This window comes from Homo sapiens, chromosome 2, assembly GCF_000001405.40.
Source record: "Homo sapiens chromosome 2, GRCh38.p14 Primary Assembly".
Taxonomy (NCBI): domain Eukaryota; kingdom Metazoa; phylum Chordata; class Mammalia; order Primates; family Hominidae; genus Homo; species Homo sapiens.
The window spans coordinates 44,771,381-44,788,651 of NC_000002.12; the positions used below are offsets into that span (position 1 = coordinate 44,771,381).

Below are 17,271 nucleotides of genomic sequence, written 5' to 3' on the forward strand. Positions count from 1 at the left end.
TGTACTTCATATGTGAGAAACCTAACTGGATTTTAAAATCTTATCACAGAAATATCCTCAGAACTTCCCTGCACAGTATGAACAGGAATGTTGCTAGTCTAATTGTTGGAGTATGTTCTCCTCCTCAGAGAAAAGAATTTTTGAGTGACTTATTATTAATGTTAAAACCCCTAAGAAGCACCTGGAGAGCCTTTGCAGTGTCTTGGGCCCCACAAGCCTTTCCCTGTGCCCAGATGTTGCCACGGACTCCAAGCAGTGATCTGAAATGCCCGCCTGCCTGAATAGTGTGGCATTGGTCAGAGGCAGAGGGTACAGAGAGCAGAAACTTCTATGTCAAATGCCCAGTCAGGTGATGATGAATGAGCCCCAGCTCTGCCTTCTGTCAAGTGCCTCACAGTTTATAGAGGTCAAAGTGCAGTTTGGGTATTTATGAAAAAAACCCTACCCACCCCCACCAAAAACAATCCCCATGTTAATGTATAGAATTGTCACATTAGTGCCACTGAGAACTACTTTGAGTTGCTTTTCTGTGATTTATTTTTCCAGAACTATATATTTTGGTGTAAAAGTCATCATGATACTCAACATTAATATTGACTGGTAAAGATCCCTAATTGGAGTCCCCTTACCTTTTTCTTTCTATTATTGTTTTCAGTTGAAAAAGGAAAACCCGGACATATATGAAGAAAACCTTCATTACCCGCTTCTGCTTATTTTGACCAAACATGGATAGAAGATTAAGCTTCTCAAAGACGAAGAAACGTATCAAGTGCATAGGGAATATTTTTACAAAAACGGAAATCTGTAAGGGGTATAATCGCCTGCCTGCGCCCTTTGCAGCATTTCACGTGTGGGCTATGGACTCCACCTGTCCTCACCCACGTTATTCCCCAGCTGCCCTCTCCAGCTCCCTCCCCGCCTCTTTTTACACTCTGCTTGTTGCTCGTCCTGCCCTAAACCTTTGTTTGTCTTTAAATGTGTATAAGCTGCCTGTCTGTGACTTGAATTTGACTGGTGAACAAACTAAATATTTTTCCCTGTAATTGAGACAGAATTTCTTTTGATGATACCCATCCCTCCTTCATTTTTTTTTTTTTTTTGGTCTTTGTTCTGTTTTGGTGGTGGTAGTTTTTAATCAGTAAACCCAGCAAATATCATGATTCTTTCCTGGTTAGAAAAATAAATAAAGTGTATCTTTTTATCTCCCTCCAATTAATTGTATTAAATCCGCCATCCCTTTCTCTGTCCCTCTCTCTCCTTCTTTTTTTCCTTTTAAACAGTATGTTTTTTTTCCTATAGATGTATAAGAAATGACTACATCAGCCCAAAGCCTCATAAACTGACCGTTTGTCCTCTGGACACAATAGCGTGGCCAGCCCTCTGCTCCTCCTCCCCAATTATGTGTGATTAGTCTCAGTGTGCTGTGTCAAGGAGGGGGAGTGTGCTGAGTGCTTATTATCTGTTTAGGTACAAGAAGAGCACATTTAGGCTCTGACTATGAATGAAAAGTGAGCCTTTATCAGGGCTTAAATCTAACTGCTGCTGTTCTCCAGGCCTCTTTCAAAATAGGTCCTTCCCAGAGAAATTTTGAGTAAATGGTTGATAAACCAGATTGCAACCAGGGGGAGTTTTTTAAAAACTCAATCACACAATTATCTTATTTAAAATAAGTATATATTGTTATATGCTGTGATTCAAGTGTATGGTAAACATTTAATAGGTGCTACCTAGGATTAAGAGAGAATGACTTTTCTGCAGGGAACCCAAGCTTATCCTTGCCTAGTGCATCCATGAGATGCTCTAATGCCTTTTGTGGAAATTCAGATGTTTATCTGTAAGGAATCATCTGTGCCCACTTTAGCAGTAATGTCATTAGTAGGTTAGCTATATATCCTCATGTCTTTAGTACAGGCAAAAACATGTATTCAGTGTGATACAATTAAAGTGATAGGTGAGAGACTGGGGGTGCATCCTTTTGCATGTTAAACAAACTTAGCTGTCATAAAAGCAGCGACTCTCAAATGTCTTCTCTGCTCACTTCTATCATCAAACAAATTTTTCACCATCAGTTTGCATGTCCTTGTATTCACCACTTTTTCTGCTCCATTAGAGCACCTAGATGGATCTCAGAAGGCATAGGTCAAGTCGCAGTTAGATCATACATTTCTTTCTCACAAAAACTTGAATTGCAATGCCAAGTGATGGGCTAACATCACAATAACAGCAATTTATTCCTCTTTGGATAAAACAGCAGTCTATTCTCAGTGCTAGATAAAGACCAGGGCAATGCAAACCAGCCATTTAGCTGAGTAGTTCAGCTAGTGGCAGCTCTCCTTTGGTGACTGTATAGGTTGCACACTGGCTTCATATTTTCTTGTTTAAAAATTAGAATTTGGCATGTTTTAAAAGGCAACACAAGCCATTCCATTTATACTGGTGAAAATACAGCAAAATTATTTCCTGTGTAAAACCTGCAACTAACTCTGCCAGACAAAGAAAACGCATCCCTGTAGTAGCACCTAAGATGGTCTATTCTTTTTTCTTTTTAAATATGGAACAGCAGGACTATGAGAATATTTTCTTTTTTCTCTCAAGAAAATACGTGAATTGGCAAGAATTCAATTTGTATTTGTGTGTTGTGGGTGGAGAAATCCAGTGTTTATGTCTCTGGGAGATACTATATTTTAAAAAGTAAACTAGGAATGTATTTTTTTAAATATCTGAGAACAGTGTTTCAGAATTGAACTGTTGCTACCAAGAGATACGTAGTAAGGAAATTCACTTATTATGTAATTAAAACCTAGAGAATCTCCTATACAATGTTAAGGGTTTCCTAGATCTGCTCTTCATGGGATCCTCACCTGGAAATCTCTGTAGTCCAGGTTCTTTGAAAGTTTGTAAGAAATGTTCTATATTATTGAATAATTTTAGTTTTTATTTTCCCGAAGTTTAATGGAATGCCGATACTGAAAAGTGAAATAGAGCAGCTTTGAAAGTTTGTCCATTTACATTTCTTTTGAACTTTATGATTATTTCTATGAGTCAATTGCAATTGAAATGGCCCATTCCATAATTGCCTATGTAATTATGCATGTGTTTGTTTCAGAAAGGAAGCCTGTCTGCTTAGGAAATCCTAAGAATAATATTTCTTTTCTTTGTGTACCTTTATCTTCTGATAAAACTCATGATTTTCCTTTGTCATACTAAGTAGATTTGGTTGGATGAAAGAATGTTTCTAATATTGCCCGTGGTCAGTTCTAATGCTGTGAGATGAATAGCTACATACAAGTTGGTTATAAGAAATATATTTTACTTTATAGCAAGACATATGCCATGAATTGGGATAAAAGTGCTAGAAAAGACTACCTAAGAGGTTGATGCTATTTTGTATAAATTGTGTATTTTGTTGGCTTTTTGACTGAGCATGAAAATGTAACTTCCATTAGGGAAGGGTAATTTAGGTGCTCAGTATTCAGCAGAAAACTTGTCAGGGCCATAAAAGCTTTTCTGGCTAGTTCCTCGGGTGTTTTCAGAGAAGAGCTGCCCGCCCCTTGCTGATTTTCCCTTTGGCTTCAGTATGGGCTGAATTTACCACTGCATACCTGTTGAATCAATTTGGGGGATCCAGCAGTTAACTGAGTGAATGGAAGGATTAGTTGCCCTCTGGAGCCCTATTTCAACAGCCAGGTGTCTGTCCTAAACTAGTTAACTGCTTTTGACAGCTGAAGAACCTGGTTTTAATACCAGAGGCAGGAGGTAGTGGTGTTTTTTTCCATCTCTCTGCTACCAAAGTGGGGCAACCTGCTCATGAGGGTTAGGTGGTTTTTGTTTTTTAATAGGAACCTAGCTTCCATGGATTTTCTTTGTGCTTAGTCAGCATTTGACTTGTTTCCAATCTATGCCAGACAATTCATTAGCATTGTCTGGCAAGAACCTCTCACTGGACTCTGGGGGTGGGGCAGAATGCCCACATAGGGGAGAGAGTCAAAGTATATGTACAAGCATATACACACACACACTCACAGGAAAGATTAAGCTATTTAGACCCGAGATCTGGGCTCCAGCCGCCAGATTCCAGGTACATCCCCACCCTAGATCAAAATCCCCTGAGTTCAGGCTGTATGAAACATCATAATTATGTTGATTGTATACCATAAAGAAAAAATGGATTTGAAAGTCAGGCTGATTTTAGGCAGGGTAAATATGTTTTCCTGAGTGGACTACTTCCAAATTAGGAAGGATCCTGTTAGTGTTTATCAAACCATTAAGCCTGAAATGCCACTTTTAATTCTCACATTTCATTTTACCCAGAGAGCTTACCTTCCAGGCTGTGGCTAAATGCTCACAGTGTTCTCTGCCCTGGAAGTCTGTGCATTTGGAGTCTGTATTTTGCTTTTTTTGTCCCCCTGACTTTTCAATTAATACATTTTTTAACAGATAAAACAGATCATACCGTGACTTTTAAAATGTCAACAAGCTTGTAAACAGAAATGTAATAAAATGGCTAATAGGAGATTCAATAGTTAATAGAGGGCCTGAAGTGTGAGCAAATACAGTAGCTGTATATTGGAAACTGTGCAAGTGAAGATGGCTTTAGTATTGCAAACTGAGGAAGAAAATTGTTTTTAATTAGCACCTTCATAAGAACTGCTGATTAATACTGTTTTGTTTGGTGAAAAGCTTTCAGCTGAGTAATTTGTACAGCCATTACAACAGTTTTGTTAGAGCGGGACTCCTGTTGTTAAACACAAACAGCAGATGATAATGGTGGAAGATGAGTTTGTCATGTAACAATTTACCTTATTGAAAAAAGCTTTATATAAAACCCAATACAGTAGGTACCAGCAGAAATCACATATTTTAAATCCTTCCAAAATTGCAGTGTGCCATGCTTATGGTTTGTTTTTTCCTCAGGGCTAGAAGCAGATTTTATATCATTTATAAAATTATATACACAATTTAAAGGTGGTGTAGCGTGGACAGACCACTTTCTTAGCAGCAGTTTACATTGGAGCAGTAAACTGGCATGTATTCAAACATTTCCTAACTACACAAAGAAGGTGGAAAAATGGAAGCCTAATTAAATAATGTTACTCAAATGTCAATTTGCATTGCGACTGGATGCAGGGAAATAAGAATTGGTGTTTCTGCCTTAAGTGGGTTTATCATGTATAGGATCTTAAAAAAAAAAATCTCAACAGAAGTTTAAGTAACCCTTTTTTTTTTTTTTTTTTTCTGGTGATGTTTTAACTGACCCAGAGGAAACAGTGCTCAATCAGTGAGACCTGACCAGAGAATAAGAGGCCGATTTCAGTGAACTCCCATAAAATGGATATTTTGCTAGCCAGAAGCATGGGAAATTGTGTGTGTGTGTGTGTGTGTGTGTGTGTGTGCTTAAAATAAAATCCAATGGTAAAGCATATTTGCATTAAAATATTACGCTAACCAAGGCTGGTAAGAACTGTAAATTATTGGAGTGGCGTAATAGAGCATGAGATTTTTTTTTTTAAGACAGGCCTTCGGGGTAATAGCAAGGGTTGAGGCTCACGACAGTGCCAAATAAGCTTTAGACAGCATAATAGTCTGCAAAGAAAGCCACAGAGCACTAATGTGAAGGAAGAGCTGTCCACCACATGCAGCAAAAATCACCAAAGGTCATTTTATGGTAGCAATTGTGACATAAAATTGGTGGTCATGCTACATGTCTAATACTCAGCACAGCTTTATAAATGATGGGCCCCTAGCGATGGCTGTCATTAAGTGCTTTCATCATAATAAACTTTAAACTGTTGGCTTTATGAATCGCCAGCTAGCTTCAGCTGTTCGTTGGATGGAGCTTGCAGTGCCTTAAGTGTGACAAGACCTATTAGGAATTGCAACCATGTTTCAAGCGTACTTGGCTTCCCCACTCCTGGGGTGATTGCTGCCTATTAAACGGCGTCTGGGAAGATTTTCCTCCAGCAATCTCTGATCAAGAGCTTTTTTGGGCTTTGACCTGCATTTCCTTCAAGACTTTCTCTGAGGAGTTTTATAAGAGCAAAACTCCAGAGCATTTATAGCCACTTCTGATTAATACCTTTCCAGTTTTTCTAGCAACTCTCCCACTGCTGCATAGAGAAAAGCTTTCATTGTTCCTGAGGTGCTTATTTGTGACCTTTTTTCTGCTTCCTGATTCCCTCTAACGTGTTCTCTCAGTGAAATCCTCGGGGTGGAACCCAGACAGTTGGTGAAGTTGTTACAGCTGGAGAGACAGAGAAGGAAAGAGAGAGGCTGTTATATTTTTAAAGGATTACATGCAGAGCAGCCTGGCCCCGCCCATTTAAATACTAATGTGACGTCACCTGCCGCCCGCTGTACCAAACGCATCCTTAATGAGCCCTCGGTGTAAATTGAGCCGACACATAAAGATTTCATGATTCAAATTACACTTTCATTAACCTTTAGCATGGGAAGTCTTTTAGTTTCTATAAATCTTACAGTGGCTTACCGTCTGTCCTACTGATGTGAATAATAGATGTTCGGAGAATCACTCTTTAAAAACCAGTGTTATTTAATTTACAAGGGCTAAATACATATTTCAGACTCACTTAGCAAGAACTTTATTTACTTCTTGTTGCTTGTTCTGACTTTGAGGCCACCCCTCATCCTCCCACCCCGTTTTCTTCTGCTTGACTCAGATGTTTTGGAGATGGTAAAAGCTTTCAATGTCTAAGTCCCTGTCTTAATACTCTTATTTGTCTTTCTTTTAGGCTAAGTAGTGTCCTAAAGATAGTTCAGGGAATGTCTCAGGTGTGGACCATTACACAATTAAATTAGCAAACCTCAGAGGGCTTGGATTAGAACCCGGCAGGGAACACTTGGGGATTCGAGGGCAGAGCCAAGCTTTCTGAATGGCAGTGGCTCTCCCAGGAACAGCAAGGGTTGGCCCGCTTGGTAGTCTCAGTCACAGACTTGTCTTACCAGATAAAGTATTGCAGGCACTCTTTTTTTCTCCTGGGAGTGAACAGGAAATACATTAGTGAATGTGTCAAGCCGAAGGGAAAACAGGAGTTGGAGGGCTCGTGGCTTTTCACATACAAAGGCATCCGCCATCCCACCACGGGAGCCGGCCAAGGGTGGACAAGTGCATTTTGAGGCTGCTGCCCAGGTGCAAGGGGAGGGGGCGGGGCGGGCCGCAGAATGCCCCCGAACAAAGGCGCCTCCAGGGGCCTGTGCAGAGGTCACCTGCTGCCTCCAGGGCAGATTAAGGAGGACTGCAGAGGGCATTTGGAGGAAATGGTGCTGTGCTTCTTTGGGAAATCAATTCGTCCCACCCTTAATAGGGCATTTTGCCCTCCCTCTTTGGGAGTCCCAGGCGAACATGCTTCCAGGTCTCTCAAAATCAGTTATAACAGACCCACGTTTGAAGAGGCGGCACCTTTCCCTGCCTGCGTTCCTTCAATAGCCTGTGCCCCCTGAGAATCTCTTTCTGCTCTCTGCAACATCTCACTTCCCTTTTCTCTCTTCTTTGGGCTCCCCCGCCCCTCTCTACCGAGGCCTCTTTCATAATTAGGCTGAAAGTGGAACTTTCCCCCACTCCCTTACTTTGAGATTTCTTTTTTCCCAGTGACCTGGGCTGCACTTTGCCCCCACTCCCTGCCTGCCAATCTCTTCAGGGTTAGGGCCTCTCTCTTTCCATTCTTGCCGCTCCCCCTCCTTGAGAGCTCCGGGAGGCCCAGCCTCCCTGAATCCGATCGGCTTCCAACACAGCAGCCCCCCTGTGGAGGAAGGAAGAGGCCTCCTCAGAATGAATGGCTGGTAAGGAGGTTTTTAATTTGTCTGGAGCTACAAGAAAAAGGCCTCAGAGCAGCGTTCCCTCCCTCACCTCTGCCGCCCACGCTGGGCCACTCTGCCTTCCCGGTGGGCACCGAGGCCGCACCATCCCAGGCCAGGTCCATGGTGAAAGCTGGGCGGTGGGATCTGAAAATGTTGGCTTGTTGTCTGGGCATCACCTGTGCAATCTAGAATAAGGACTCGGCTTTGTATATGAAATTCTACTTTTTGATGGTTTGCAGCCTACCAATGTGAGAAAGGTAGAAGCTGAACACGATGTGACTGTCAGACTAGGTCGGAAAGTGAGCTCAGGCCATCACTGTCTTGATCTGCAGTCTGCCTTCTGATGGCCGAGCTCTCCTTGAGCTTCAGGGAATGTCACCATGCTGTTCCCAACCCAGAAGGCAGTACATTTAAAAGCTTTGCCCACCTGACCTATGGTTCCACCTCCAGGTACATTAGCCTTCATTTTCCTCCACAGGCTTTATTTTTAGGAGCAGAGGCCACATCCCTGATCCAGCCTACATTTTGAGTGGATCTCTCACTGTCCCTCTGTCTCTCTCTCAAGCAGCATCTCATGATGCCAAGCGAGAGCAAGTATGAAGCAGCTTGGAGGAGAATGAAGCCGCTCACAGCTTCTGAGTGTCCAGAGATCTTTCCTCTCTCCAGGGATACTCCTGGTTGGCCCACCTTCTGCCCCATAAGATGAGAACCTCGGCTCTGGGCTGGGTGACAGAGGTTTTGAGTCTCCAGCTTGCATTTCTGCCAGCTGTTAGTGGTTTTCCCTCACCTCACAGCCAGGTGCTGCTTCTGGGTCCTCTCACACACACCCTCACCCCCAAGAGACTAGATAAACCATCAGTGGTTACAATAATCTCAATATGAATATGATACTGTAGGTATTTATCCAGCTCTACCCTTGTGGTAGATTGGTGGGGTTGGGGAATAGCAACAGTACTTTCCAGCTCCTTCCATCAAGAAATGGACTCTTTCTTCACTCCTTGATTCTGAACTTGGCTTGGCTTGCTTTGGCCAAGGAGACATTAGTAAACATGAGTACAAGCGGAGGTTTGAAAATCACTTGTGCATTGAGGTTTGTCCTATCTTGATGTTTTTGGAACCCAGCTACCATGTGAAAAAACCCAGGCTGTGCTGCTAGACAGTGGAGACATGTGGCCTAGTCACCCCCATTATTCAGCCATGAGCCACTGAACGGCAGTGGCTCTCCCAGGAACAGCGAGGGTTGGCCTGCTTGGTTGTCTCAGTCGCAGACTTGTCTTACCAGATAAAGTATTGCAGGCTCAACTCTTTTTTCCTGGGAGTGAACAGAAAACGAGGACCAAACAGCCCCTGGGAGATGCAGCTCTGGCTGCAGCTGTGTGAGTGGGCCAGGTGAGCCAGCAGAAGAACTGCCCAGCTGAGCTCAACCCAAATTGCCTGCTCACAGAACATGAGCTAAAAATGGTGGTGTTTTAAAGCAACTACATTTGGGGCAGTCTGTTAACTAAGTGATGAGCAACCGATAACTCATGCAGTTCTAGATCTATTCTCTGGGGGTACTTTTCTGCGTCCTTACGTTTAACTTTTGATACAATGTTTTGCCTAAAATGTGGTGAGTTACATAGTGACTAACATTTCAAAAACACAAAAATAGGATGCAAGTACCACAGGCCTCATTTACCCTTCAGAAATTGAACCTATTACAGAGGCACATCACTCTCAGGCTACTGAGAGAGGACACCAGAGAAAGTGGGCTACAGGAGAAAGAACAATGAACCTTGAATCAGAATACCTAGTCCAGCCTGGACTCTACCAGTACCAAGCTGGTGATTGTAGGCAAGCTGCTTAATCTCTGTGGACATCAGTTTCCTCTTCTGTAACATAGGAGAGCTGAACGACATAATTTGAATTCCCAGTTCATGCTAACTTCTGAAGTATTTGAGATAAAAAACATTCTATTATGAGGACCAGAGATATTGGCCACCTCAGGGAGTTAGAATTCTCTGGTACTGTCAGAGAGTTGTCAGACATTTAGCTTGGCCCTAGAGAATATGTAATACATTGCAGGGGACTTTCTCCCATGAGGTTCTGGGGTGGATCCCAATGTTTCACCTTCCTCTGCCCCAGGCTGAACATTGCAGGGCTACCTCAGGTACCACTGCGGGGGAAGGGAGGAGTGGTGGGGGCCCAAACTCCTCCATTTTTATTCACTGATCTAATCAATACAGACATACTTTTATCACACTTAGGAGATAATTGCATTTTTTTTTTTTTCCAAATTGAAGGTCTGTGACAATTCTTTGAGCAAGTCTATTGGCTCCATTTTTCCAACAGCATGTGCTCACTTCATGTCTCTGTCACATTTTTGTAATTCTCACAATATTTACTTTTTCACTATTAAATTGTTATGGTGATCTGTGATCAGTAATCTTTGATGATACTATTGTAATTGTTTTAGGGCACCACAAACTGTAGCTAGATAAGATGGTGAACTTAATAAATGTTCTGGGTGCTCTAACTGCTCCAATGAAAGGCTGTTCCCTGTCTCCCTCCCTCTTCTGGGCCTCCCTATTCTCTGAGACACAACAATATTGAAATTAGCCCAGTTAATAACCCTGCAATGGCGTTTAACTGTTCAAGTGAAAGGAAGAGTTGCATGTCTCTCACTTTAAATCAAAAGCTGGAAATGGTTAAGCTTCATGAGGAAGACGTGTCAAATGTTGAGACAGGCTGAAAGCTAGGCCTCTTGTACCAGTTAGCCAAGGTGTGAATGCAAAGGAAAAGTTCTTGAAGGAAATTAAAAGTGATACTCCAGTGAACACAGGAATGATAAGAAAACAAAACAGCCTTATTGCTGATAGGGAGAAAGTTTGAGTGGTCTGGATAGAATATCAAACCAGCCACAACATTCCCTTAAGCCAAAGCCTAATCCAGAGCAAGTCCCCAACTCTCTTCAGTTCTATGAAGGCTGAGAGGTGTGGAATCTTCAGAAGAAATGTTTGAAGCTAGTGGAGGTTGATTCATGAGGTTTAAGGAAAGAAGTCATTTCCAGAACATAAAAGTGCAAGGCAAAGCAGCAAGTTATCCAGAAGATCTAGCTAAGATCACTGATGAAGGTGGCTACACTAAACAATAGACTTTCCATGTAGATGAAACAGCCTTCTATTGAAAGAAGATACCATCTAGGATTTTCATAGCTAGAGAGAAGAAGCCAATGCCTGGCTTCAGAGGACAAGCTGACTCTTTTTTTAGGGGCTAATGCAGCTTTTGGTGACTTTAAGCCAGAGCCAGTGCTCATTTACCATTCTGCAAACCCTATGGCCCTTAGGAATTATGCTGTATCTATTCCACCTGTGTTCTGTCAATGGAACAATAAAGCCTGGATGACAGCACATCTGTTTACAGCATGGTTTACTAAATATTTTAAGCCCACTGTTGAGACCTACTGCTCAAAATAAACATCCCTTTCAAAATACTCATTGACAAAATATTCATTGACAATGCACCTGTCACCTGAGGGCTCTGATGGAGATTAATGTTGTTTTCATGCCTGCTAACACAACATCCATTTGGTAGCCCATGGATCAAGGAGTAATTCTGACTTTCAAGTCTTATTTCAGAAATACCTTAAGCAAGGCTATAGCTGCCATAGATAGTGATTCCTCTTATGGATCTGGGCAAAGTCAATTGATAACTTTTTGGAAAGGGTTCATTATTCTAGATGCCATTAAGAACGTTTTTGAGTCATGAGAGGAGGTAAAAATATAAAAGTTAAGAGGAATTTGGAACAAATTGATCTTAGCATTTGTGGATGATTTTGAGGGGTGCAAGACTTCAGTGGAGGAAGTCACTGCAGATGTAGTGGAAATAGCAAGAAAACTAGAATTAGAAGTGGAGCCTGGGCCGGGTGCAGTGGCTCACGCCTGTAATCCCAGCACTTTGGGAGGCCGAGGCGGGCAGATCATGAGGTCAGGAGATTGAAACCATCCTGGCTAACATGGTGAAACCCCGTCTCTACTAAAAAATATAAAAATTAGCCGGGTGTTGTGGTGGGCGCCTGTAGTCCCAGCTACTCCAGAGGCTAAGGCAGGAGAATGGCATGAACCCGGGAGGCGGAGCTTGCAGTGAGCCGAGATTGTGCCACTGCACTCCAGCGTGGGCGACAGAGCGAGACTCTGTCTCAAAAAATAAATAAATAAAAAGTGGAGCTTGAAGATGCGACTGAATTGCTACAATCACATGATGAAACTTGAGTGGATGAGGAGTCACTTCTTAGAGATCAACAAAAGTCATTTCTTGAGATGGAATCTACTTCGGGGTGAAGATGCTGTTGAAATAATGACAAAGAATGAAGAATATTACATAAACTGAGTTGATAAAGCAGGGGCAGGGTTTCAAAGGATTGTCTCCAATTTTGAAAGAAATTTTACCGTGGGTAAAATGCTATCAGTCAGCATTGCATGCTACAGAGAAATCTTTCCTGAAAGTAAGAGTCAACTGATACAGCAAACTTTAGTGTCTTATTTTAAGAAGTTGCCACAACCTCCCGAACCTTCAGCAACCACCACCCTGATCTGTCAGCAGCCATCGACATCGAGGCAAGACCCTCCACCAGCAAAGACTGTGACTCACTGAAGGCTCAGATGAATGTTAGCATTTTTGAGCAATAAACTATTTTTAATTACAGATGTACATTTTGAAGACAATACTATTGTAAACTTAATAGACTACAGTATAGTGTAAACATAAGTTTTCTGTGTGCTGGGAAACCAAAACATTCATGTGACTCACTTTATTGTGACATTGGCTTTACTGTGGTGATCTGGAATCAAGCTCACAATATCTCTGAGGTATGCCTCTACCTGTTGTGTGCTAGGCACCCTGGGGAATCTAATACTGAACACGAAAAACCCTATTACATGTTGGAGCCAAGTGAGAAAGACAAAATGACCGCCCACACATAGCTTGCATTTGAAATGTGCCAGTGCATTTATAAAATAATTATAAATTACCAGCCAGGTGTGGTGGCTCACGCGTATAATCCCAGCACTTTAGGAGGCCAAGACAGGTGGATCACTTGAGCCCAGGTATTTGAGACCAGCCTGCGCAACATGGCAAGACCCTGTATTTATGAAAAGTAAAAAAATTTTCTGGTTGTGCTGGCGTGCGCCTGTAGTCCTAGCTACTCCAGAGACTGAACTGGGAGAATCGCTTGAACCCAGGAGGCAGAGATTGCAGTGAGCCGAGATTGAGCCACTGTACTCCAGCCTGAGTGGCAGAGTGAGACTCTATCTCAAAAAATAATAATTATTAGTAAATTATATGATAAATTCTATGAAAAACAGATAAGGTCCTATTGGTAGAGAATAATAGTGGGGCCCTACTTCAGACAGGATGGTCAGAGAAAGCCTCCCTGAGGAGGGTCTCAACTGGTGAGAAGGAGCCAGTCCCGTGAAGAGATGGTGGTGGGGCGAGGAGCCCAGACAGAGGGAGTGGGTGGTGGAGGCCCTGGGGGAGCTGAGTCTACTGCCTCTGAGGCATGGGAAGCTGGCCAGGGTGGTGGGGGCCCCATGCAGAGGGACTTGAGCTGGGCAAGGGCCAGAATGTGCAGGATTTAGTGAGTTTGGATTTTATTTGGAGGCCGAGCAGCCATTGAAGGGTTCATAGTCATGAGAATGACATAACGAGGTGCACATTTTTTAGAGGTCACTCTGAATGCTGGATGGAAAGTGGGCTAGAAGTGGAGAGTCCAGTTAGGAGACTCCTATAACGTAGGCTTGGTGAGAGAAAATAGCAGCTTGGACTGGCGACGTGAGTGACAATGGGGAAAGGGGAGCAAACCACTTCTAAGTGTGTTTGACCCCAAAGAAAGAGGAGTTGCTGGCGGTTCCTCAAAGTTTCAGGTGAAGATAAGGTTGGTCAGCCTTATCTGCACCTAATGCTGTAGGAATTCAAGTCCCTTTGCCTGTGATCTGCCTCAGCCGACCCCACCCCACCTTAAGGCCTGGGATAGGCAGAGACGTGAGAGGACGGGCCCTGGAGAGGGGATGGACCCTCCACATGCTTCCACTTTCTGCTGCACAGGCTGCAAGTTCATAGCACTTGGGAACATGGAGGGTGGGGGGTCTTTGTATCCCATTGCCTTCTTGGCCCCCGAGATGGGCCCTGTCTAACATCCTCTTATACTCTCGGAGAGGGAGGTGGCAGTGGCTAAATAGGTTGGGGCCACAGGATAAGAAGTCCATTTCTGCTCTTTCCATAGATAGAAACCCTAGGCTTTGATTCACATTGTTTTTCTGGGCATCCAGCACTGCAGTGGAAATGTCTGCTCTTGGGGTTTCTCAAGGAAAGACCCATGGAGGCCAGAGCTGGCCTCTGTCCAGGTCGTGGCACCCCACATTGCTGGAGAGATGCAAAGCAAGTACTTGCTGATGTGGCAAGATTTCAGGAGCACAGGAAAGCTCTTGGGTGGGAAAAATGTGTCACTGATGTGAAAATTCCACCAAGAGAACATCTGCCCCTTAGCTCTAGTGAGGGGTTGCTGTGAGCTAGGCTGTCCTCAAGAGAGGTAATACTCTCATGGTCCTTTGTGTACACGAGCTGAGAATAGGCCTCACTGTGGGGGAGGGGAGCAGAGGACACTGGGAACCCAGATGAAGTAAAGGGACCCCAAGAACTGGCAAAGGAACAGAAATGGGAGAATTTTAGTGTGAAGAAACCACTCCTGGCCGAGCATGTGACTCATACCTGTAATCCCAGCACTTTGGGAGGCTGAGGCAGGTGGATCACCTAAGGTTGGGAGTTCAAGACCAGCCTGACCAACATGGAGAAACCCTGTCTCTACTAAAAATACATAATTAGCCGGGCATGGCGGTGCATGCCTGTAATCTCAGCTACTCGGGAGGGCTGAGGCAGGAGAAGTGCTTGAACCCAGAAGGCTGAGGTTGCGGTGACCCGAGATTGTGCCACTGCACTCCAGCCTGGGCAACAAAAGTGAAACTCTATCTCAAAAACAAAACAAAACAAAACAAACATTCATCAGCTTCACAGAGTGATCTGGGGCCAGGAGGGCTGTCCTCATTCAACCTGGCACACACCTTCTGCAAGTCCTTCCTGCACACAGGAATGTGAGAACAAAGCAGGTGGAAGGCCCTGCCCATGTGGTGCTTATAATCTAGTAGGGGAGACAGAGCATGTCCTCAAATATGCCAGATCAATGGAAGAGGAGGGGACTGGCTGAGGGTTGTTAGAGATCAGAAGAAGGAGCAACTACCTTATGGGAGAGGAGGCAGAATTGGTATTAGCCTTTGAAAGTTGTGGAAGTGGAAAGAAAGGGCATACCAGGGGCTTGAAGCTCATGAGCTGAGGCCCACAGGAAGATTTCAGGAAATGTTTGACTTGGCAGGAATGTGGAGTTCAATGGGGTAAAGATTATCCATTCACTCATCTCATAGATACTCCCTGAATGCCTAAGAGGTTTCAGACAGTCCGGGGAGAGCAGCGAACAAGATGGACAAAGTCCCTGATCTCAAGGAGCCAACACTTCAGTAGGAGGAGAAAGGCAACAGAAATGTAGACAAATAAGACTGGTTCAAATTGGGATAGAGGCAGTGAGGACAATAAAACGAGGTGATGTTTTAGAAAGTGACTGGGCTTCCTTTGGATCCGAGGTCAAGGAAGCTGTCTCTAAGGCAGCAGCATTTTAGTTGAAACCTAAATGACAATGAAGTCAACCTTTCAAGATTGAGGGGAAGGCCATTCCAGGCAGAGGCAGTGGCAAGTGCAAAGGCCCTGAGGCAGGAGCAAACCTGCAGACGCGCAGGGAGCAGAGCAAGGCATCTGCCAGGGAGTGGCATCCGCCAGGGAGTGTGCAGGCCCAGTTGTGCAGTGCAGGACCTTGTAGGCCATGGAGGGGAAGCTGGACTTCATTTCAATGGGAAGCCACTGGAGGATCCTAAGAAGGGGAGTGGCATGGTCTGATTCTTATGTTTATTTTTTATTTTATTTTATATTTTGAGATGGAGTCTTGCTCTGTCACCCAGGCTAGAGTGCAGTGGCATGATCTCGGCACACTGCAACCTCCGCCTCCTGGGTTCAAGTGATTCTCCTGCGTCAGCCTTCTGAGTAGCTGGGATTACAGGCACCTGCCACTGTACCCAGCTAATTTTGTATTTTTAGTAGAGGGTTTCGCCATCTTGGCCAGGCTAGTCTCGAACTCCTGACCTCGTGATCCACCCACCTCGGCCTCCCAAAGTGCTAGGATTACAGGCATGAGCCACTGCGCCTGGACTATTTTTTTATTTTTTTGAGACAGAGTCTCACTCTGTTGCCCAGGCTAGAGTGCAGTGGTGCGATCTTGGCTCATTGCACCCCCCACCTCTTGGTTCAAGTGGTTCTCCTGCCTCAGCCTCCTGAGCAGCTGAGATTACAGGCACATGCCACCACGCCCGGCTAATTTTGTATTTTTAGAAGAGATGGGATTTCACCATATTGCCCAGTCTGGTCTCTAACTCCTGAGCTCAGGCAATCCACCCACCTCGACCTCCCAAAGTGCTGGGATTATAGGCCTGAGCCACCACGCCCGGCCTGATTCTTAGAACCTTACTCTGGCTGCTGTGAGGAGAATGGGTGAGGAAGAAGGCCCAGTGAGAGGCTGTTGCAGCCACGCTGGCAGGTAGTGGCGGGGACAGGAGGACACACAGAGCCAGCTGAGGGCTGGGGAGTGAGAAAGGAGAGTAAGAACGCTGGAATTTATTTGGGAGCAATGGGGGCCCTGGGGGCTGCTTACCTGATGTCACCCATCCAAGGACCTGGAGTGATGATGCTCCTGCACTGGTGGGTGCAGATGTGGAAGCACAGTCCTAGGTCTGTCTTTGGTGTGTGTGCCGAGTGCAGGAGTGCAGGACTTTCCTAGGGCTCCCTGTTAGACCTTGGAGCCCAGGGCCGATGTGCTGCCCGGAGGTGGGGTCAGTGCCTCACTCGCTGAGGTGTGGCAGCAACTGGCACCTGGTGAGCAGTCGGTACAGCATGGCTGATTGACAGGAAGGCCAGAGGGAGGAGGCTGGACAAGTGCCCACTCAAGACATATCTCTGGCTCCATCTCTACCCTCTTTTCTGAGCTGCATTCCGGAGTTGGTGAAATGTCACAAGCCTCCTAAGAGCAACTCTAAAAATTGTCTTTGGAGGTCACATTTTTTATAATCATGGAACTATTTAAAGGACAGAAAACACTGGCTGAGAATTGGAAGGACCCCAAGGGAAATAGGAGCTCAGATTCATTGGGCACCTAACTGTATTAAATCAGGAAAATGAGGCTCAGAGAGGTGAGACAACCTACCCAAGGAGAGGCCAGTTGGCTGCCTGGCCACCTCTGCCCAGATGAATCCTGGCCACTCTGCCTGTGACCTTCTTGCCCAGAGGAAAGGCCCACCTAAAAAGAAGGCTTCCAGGTGAATTCAA

At 44.5% G+C, this 17,271-nt stretch overlaps 1 protein-coding gene across 6 annotated transcripts in view, besides 2 other annotated features; it reads left to right on the top strand.

Annotated features, from left to right (window-relative positions):
• CAMKMT (calmodulin-lysine N-methyltransferase) overlaps positions 1-1,212 on the top strand; it is a 410,646-nt gene extending 409,434 nt beyond the window's left edge. For all 6 annotated transcript variants that reach the window (NM_024766.5, XM_047445878.1, XM_017004982.3 and 3 more), the window contains one exon: positions 656-1,212. In NM_024766.5, the coding sequence (NP_079042.1) occupies positions 656-733 (78 nt within the window). In that variant the 3' untranslated portion in view covers positions 734-1,212. The remainder of the gene's footprint in view (positions 1-655) is intronic.
• Positions 16,239-16,739: an enhancer, noted in NCBI's record as "H3K4me1 hESC enhancer chr2:45014758-45015258 (GRCh37/hg19 assembly coordinates)". NCBI's record gives its function as "activates a minimal SCP1, AML or CMV promoter by ChIP-STARR-seq in naive H9 embryonic stem cells {active_cell/tissue: H9 hESC(naive)}" and the evidence as "EXISTENCE:reporter gene assay evidence [ECO:0000049][PMID:30033119]".
• Positions 16,740-17,240: an enhancer, noted in NCBI's record as "H3K4me1 hESC enhancer chr2:45015259-45015759 (GRCh37/hg19 assembly coordinates)". NCBI's record gives its function as "activates a minimal SCP1, AML or CMV promoter by ChIP-STARR-seq in naive H9 embryonic stem cells {active_cell/tissue: H9 hESC(naive)}" and the evidence as "EXISTENCE:reporter gene assay evidence [ECO:0000049][PMID:30033119]".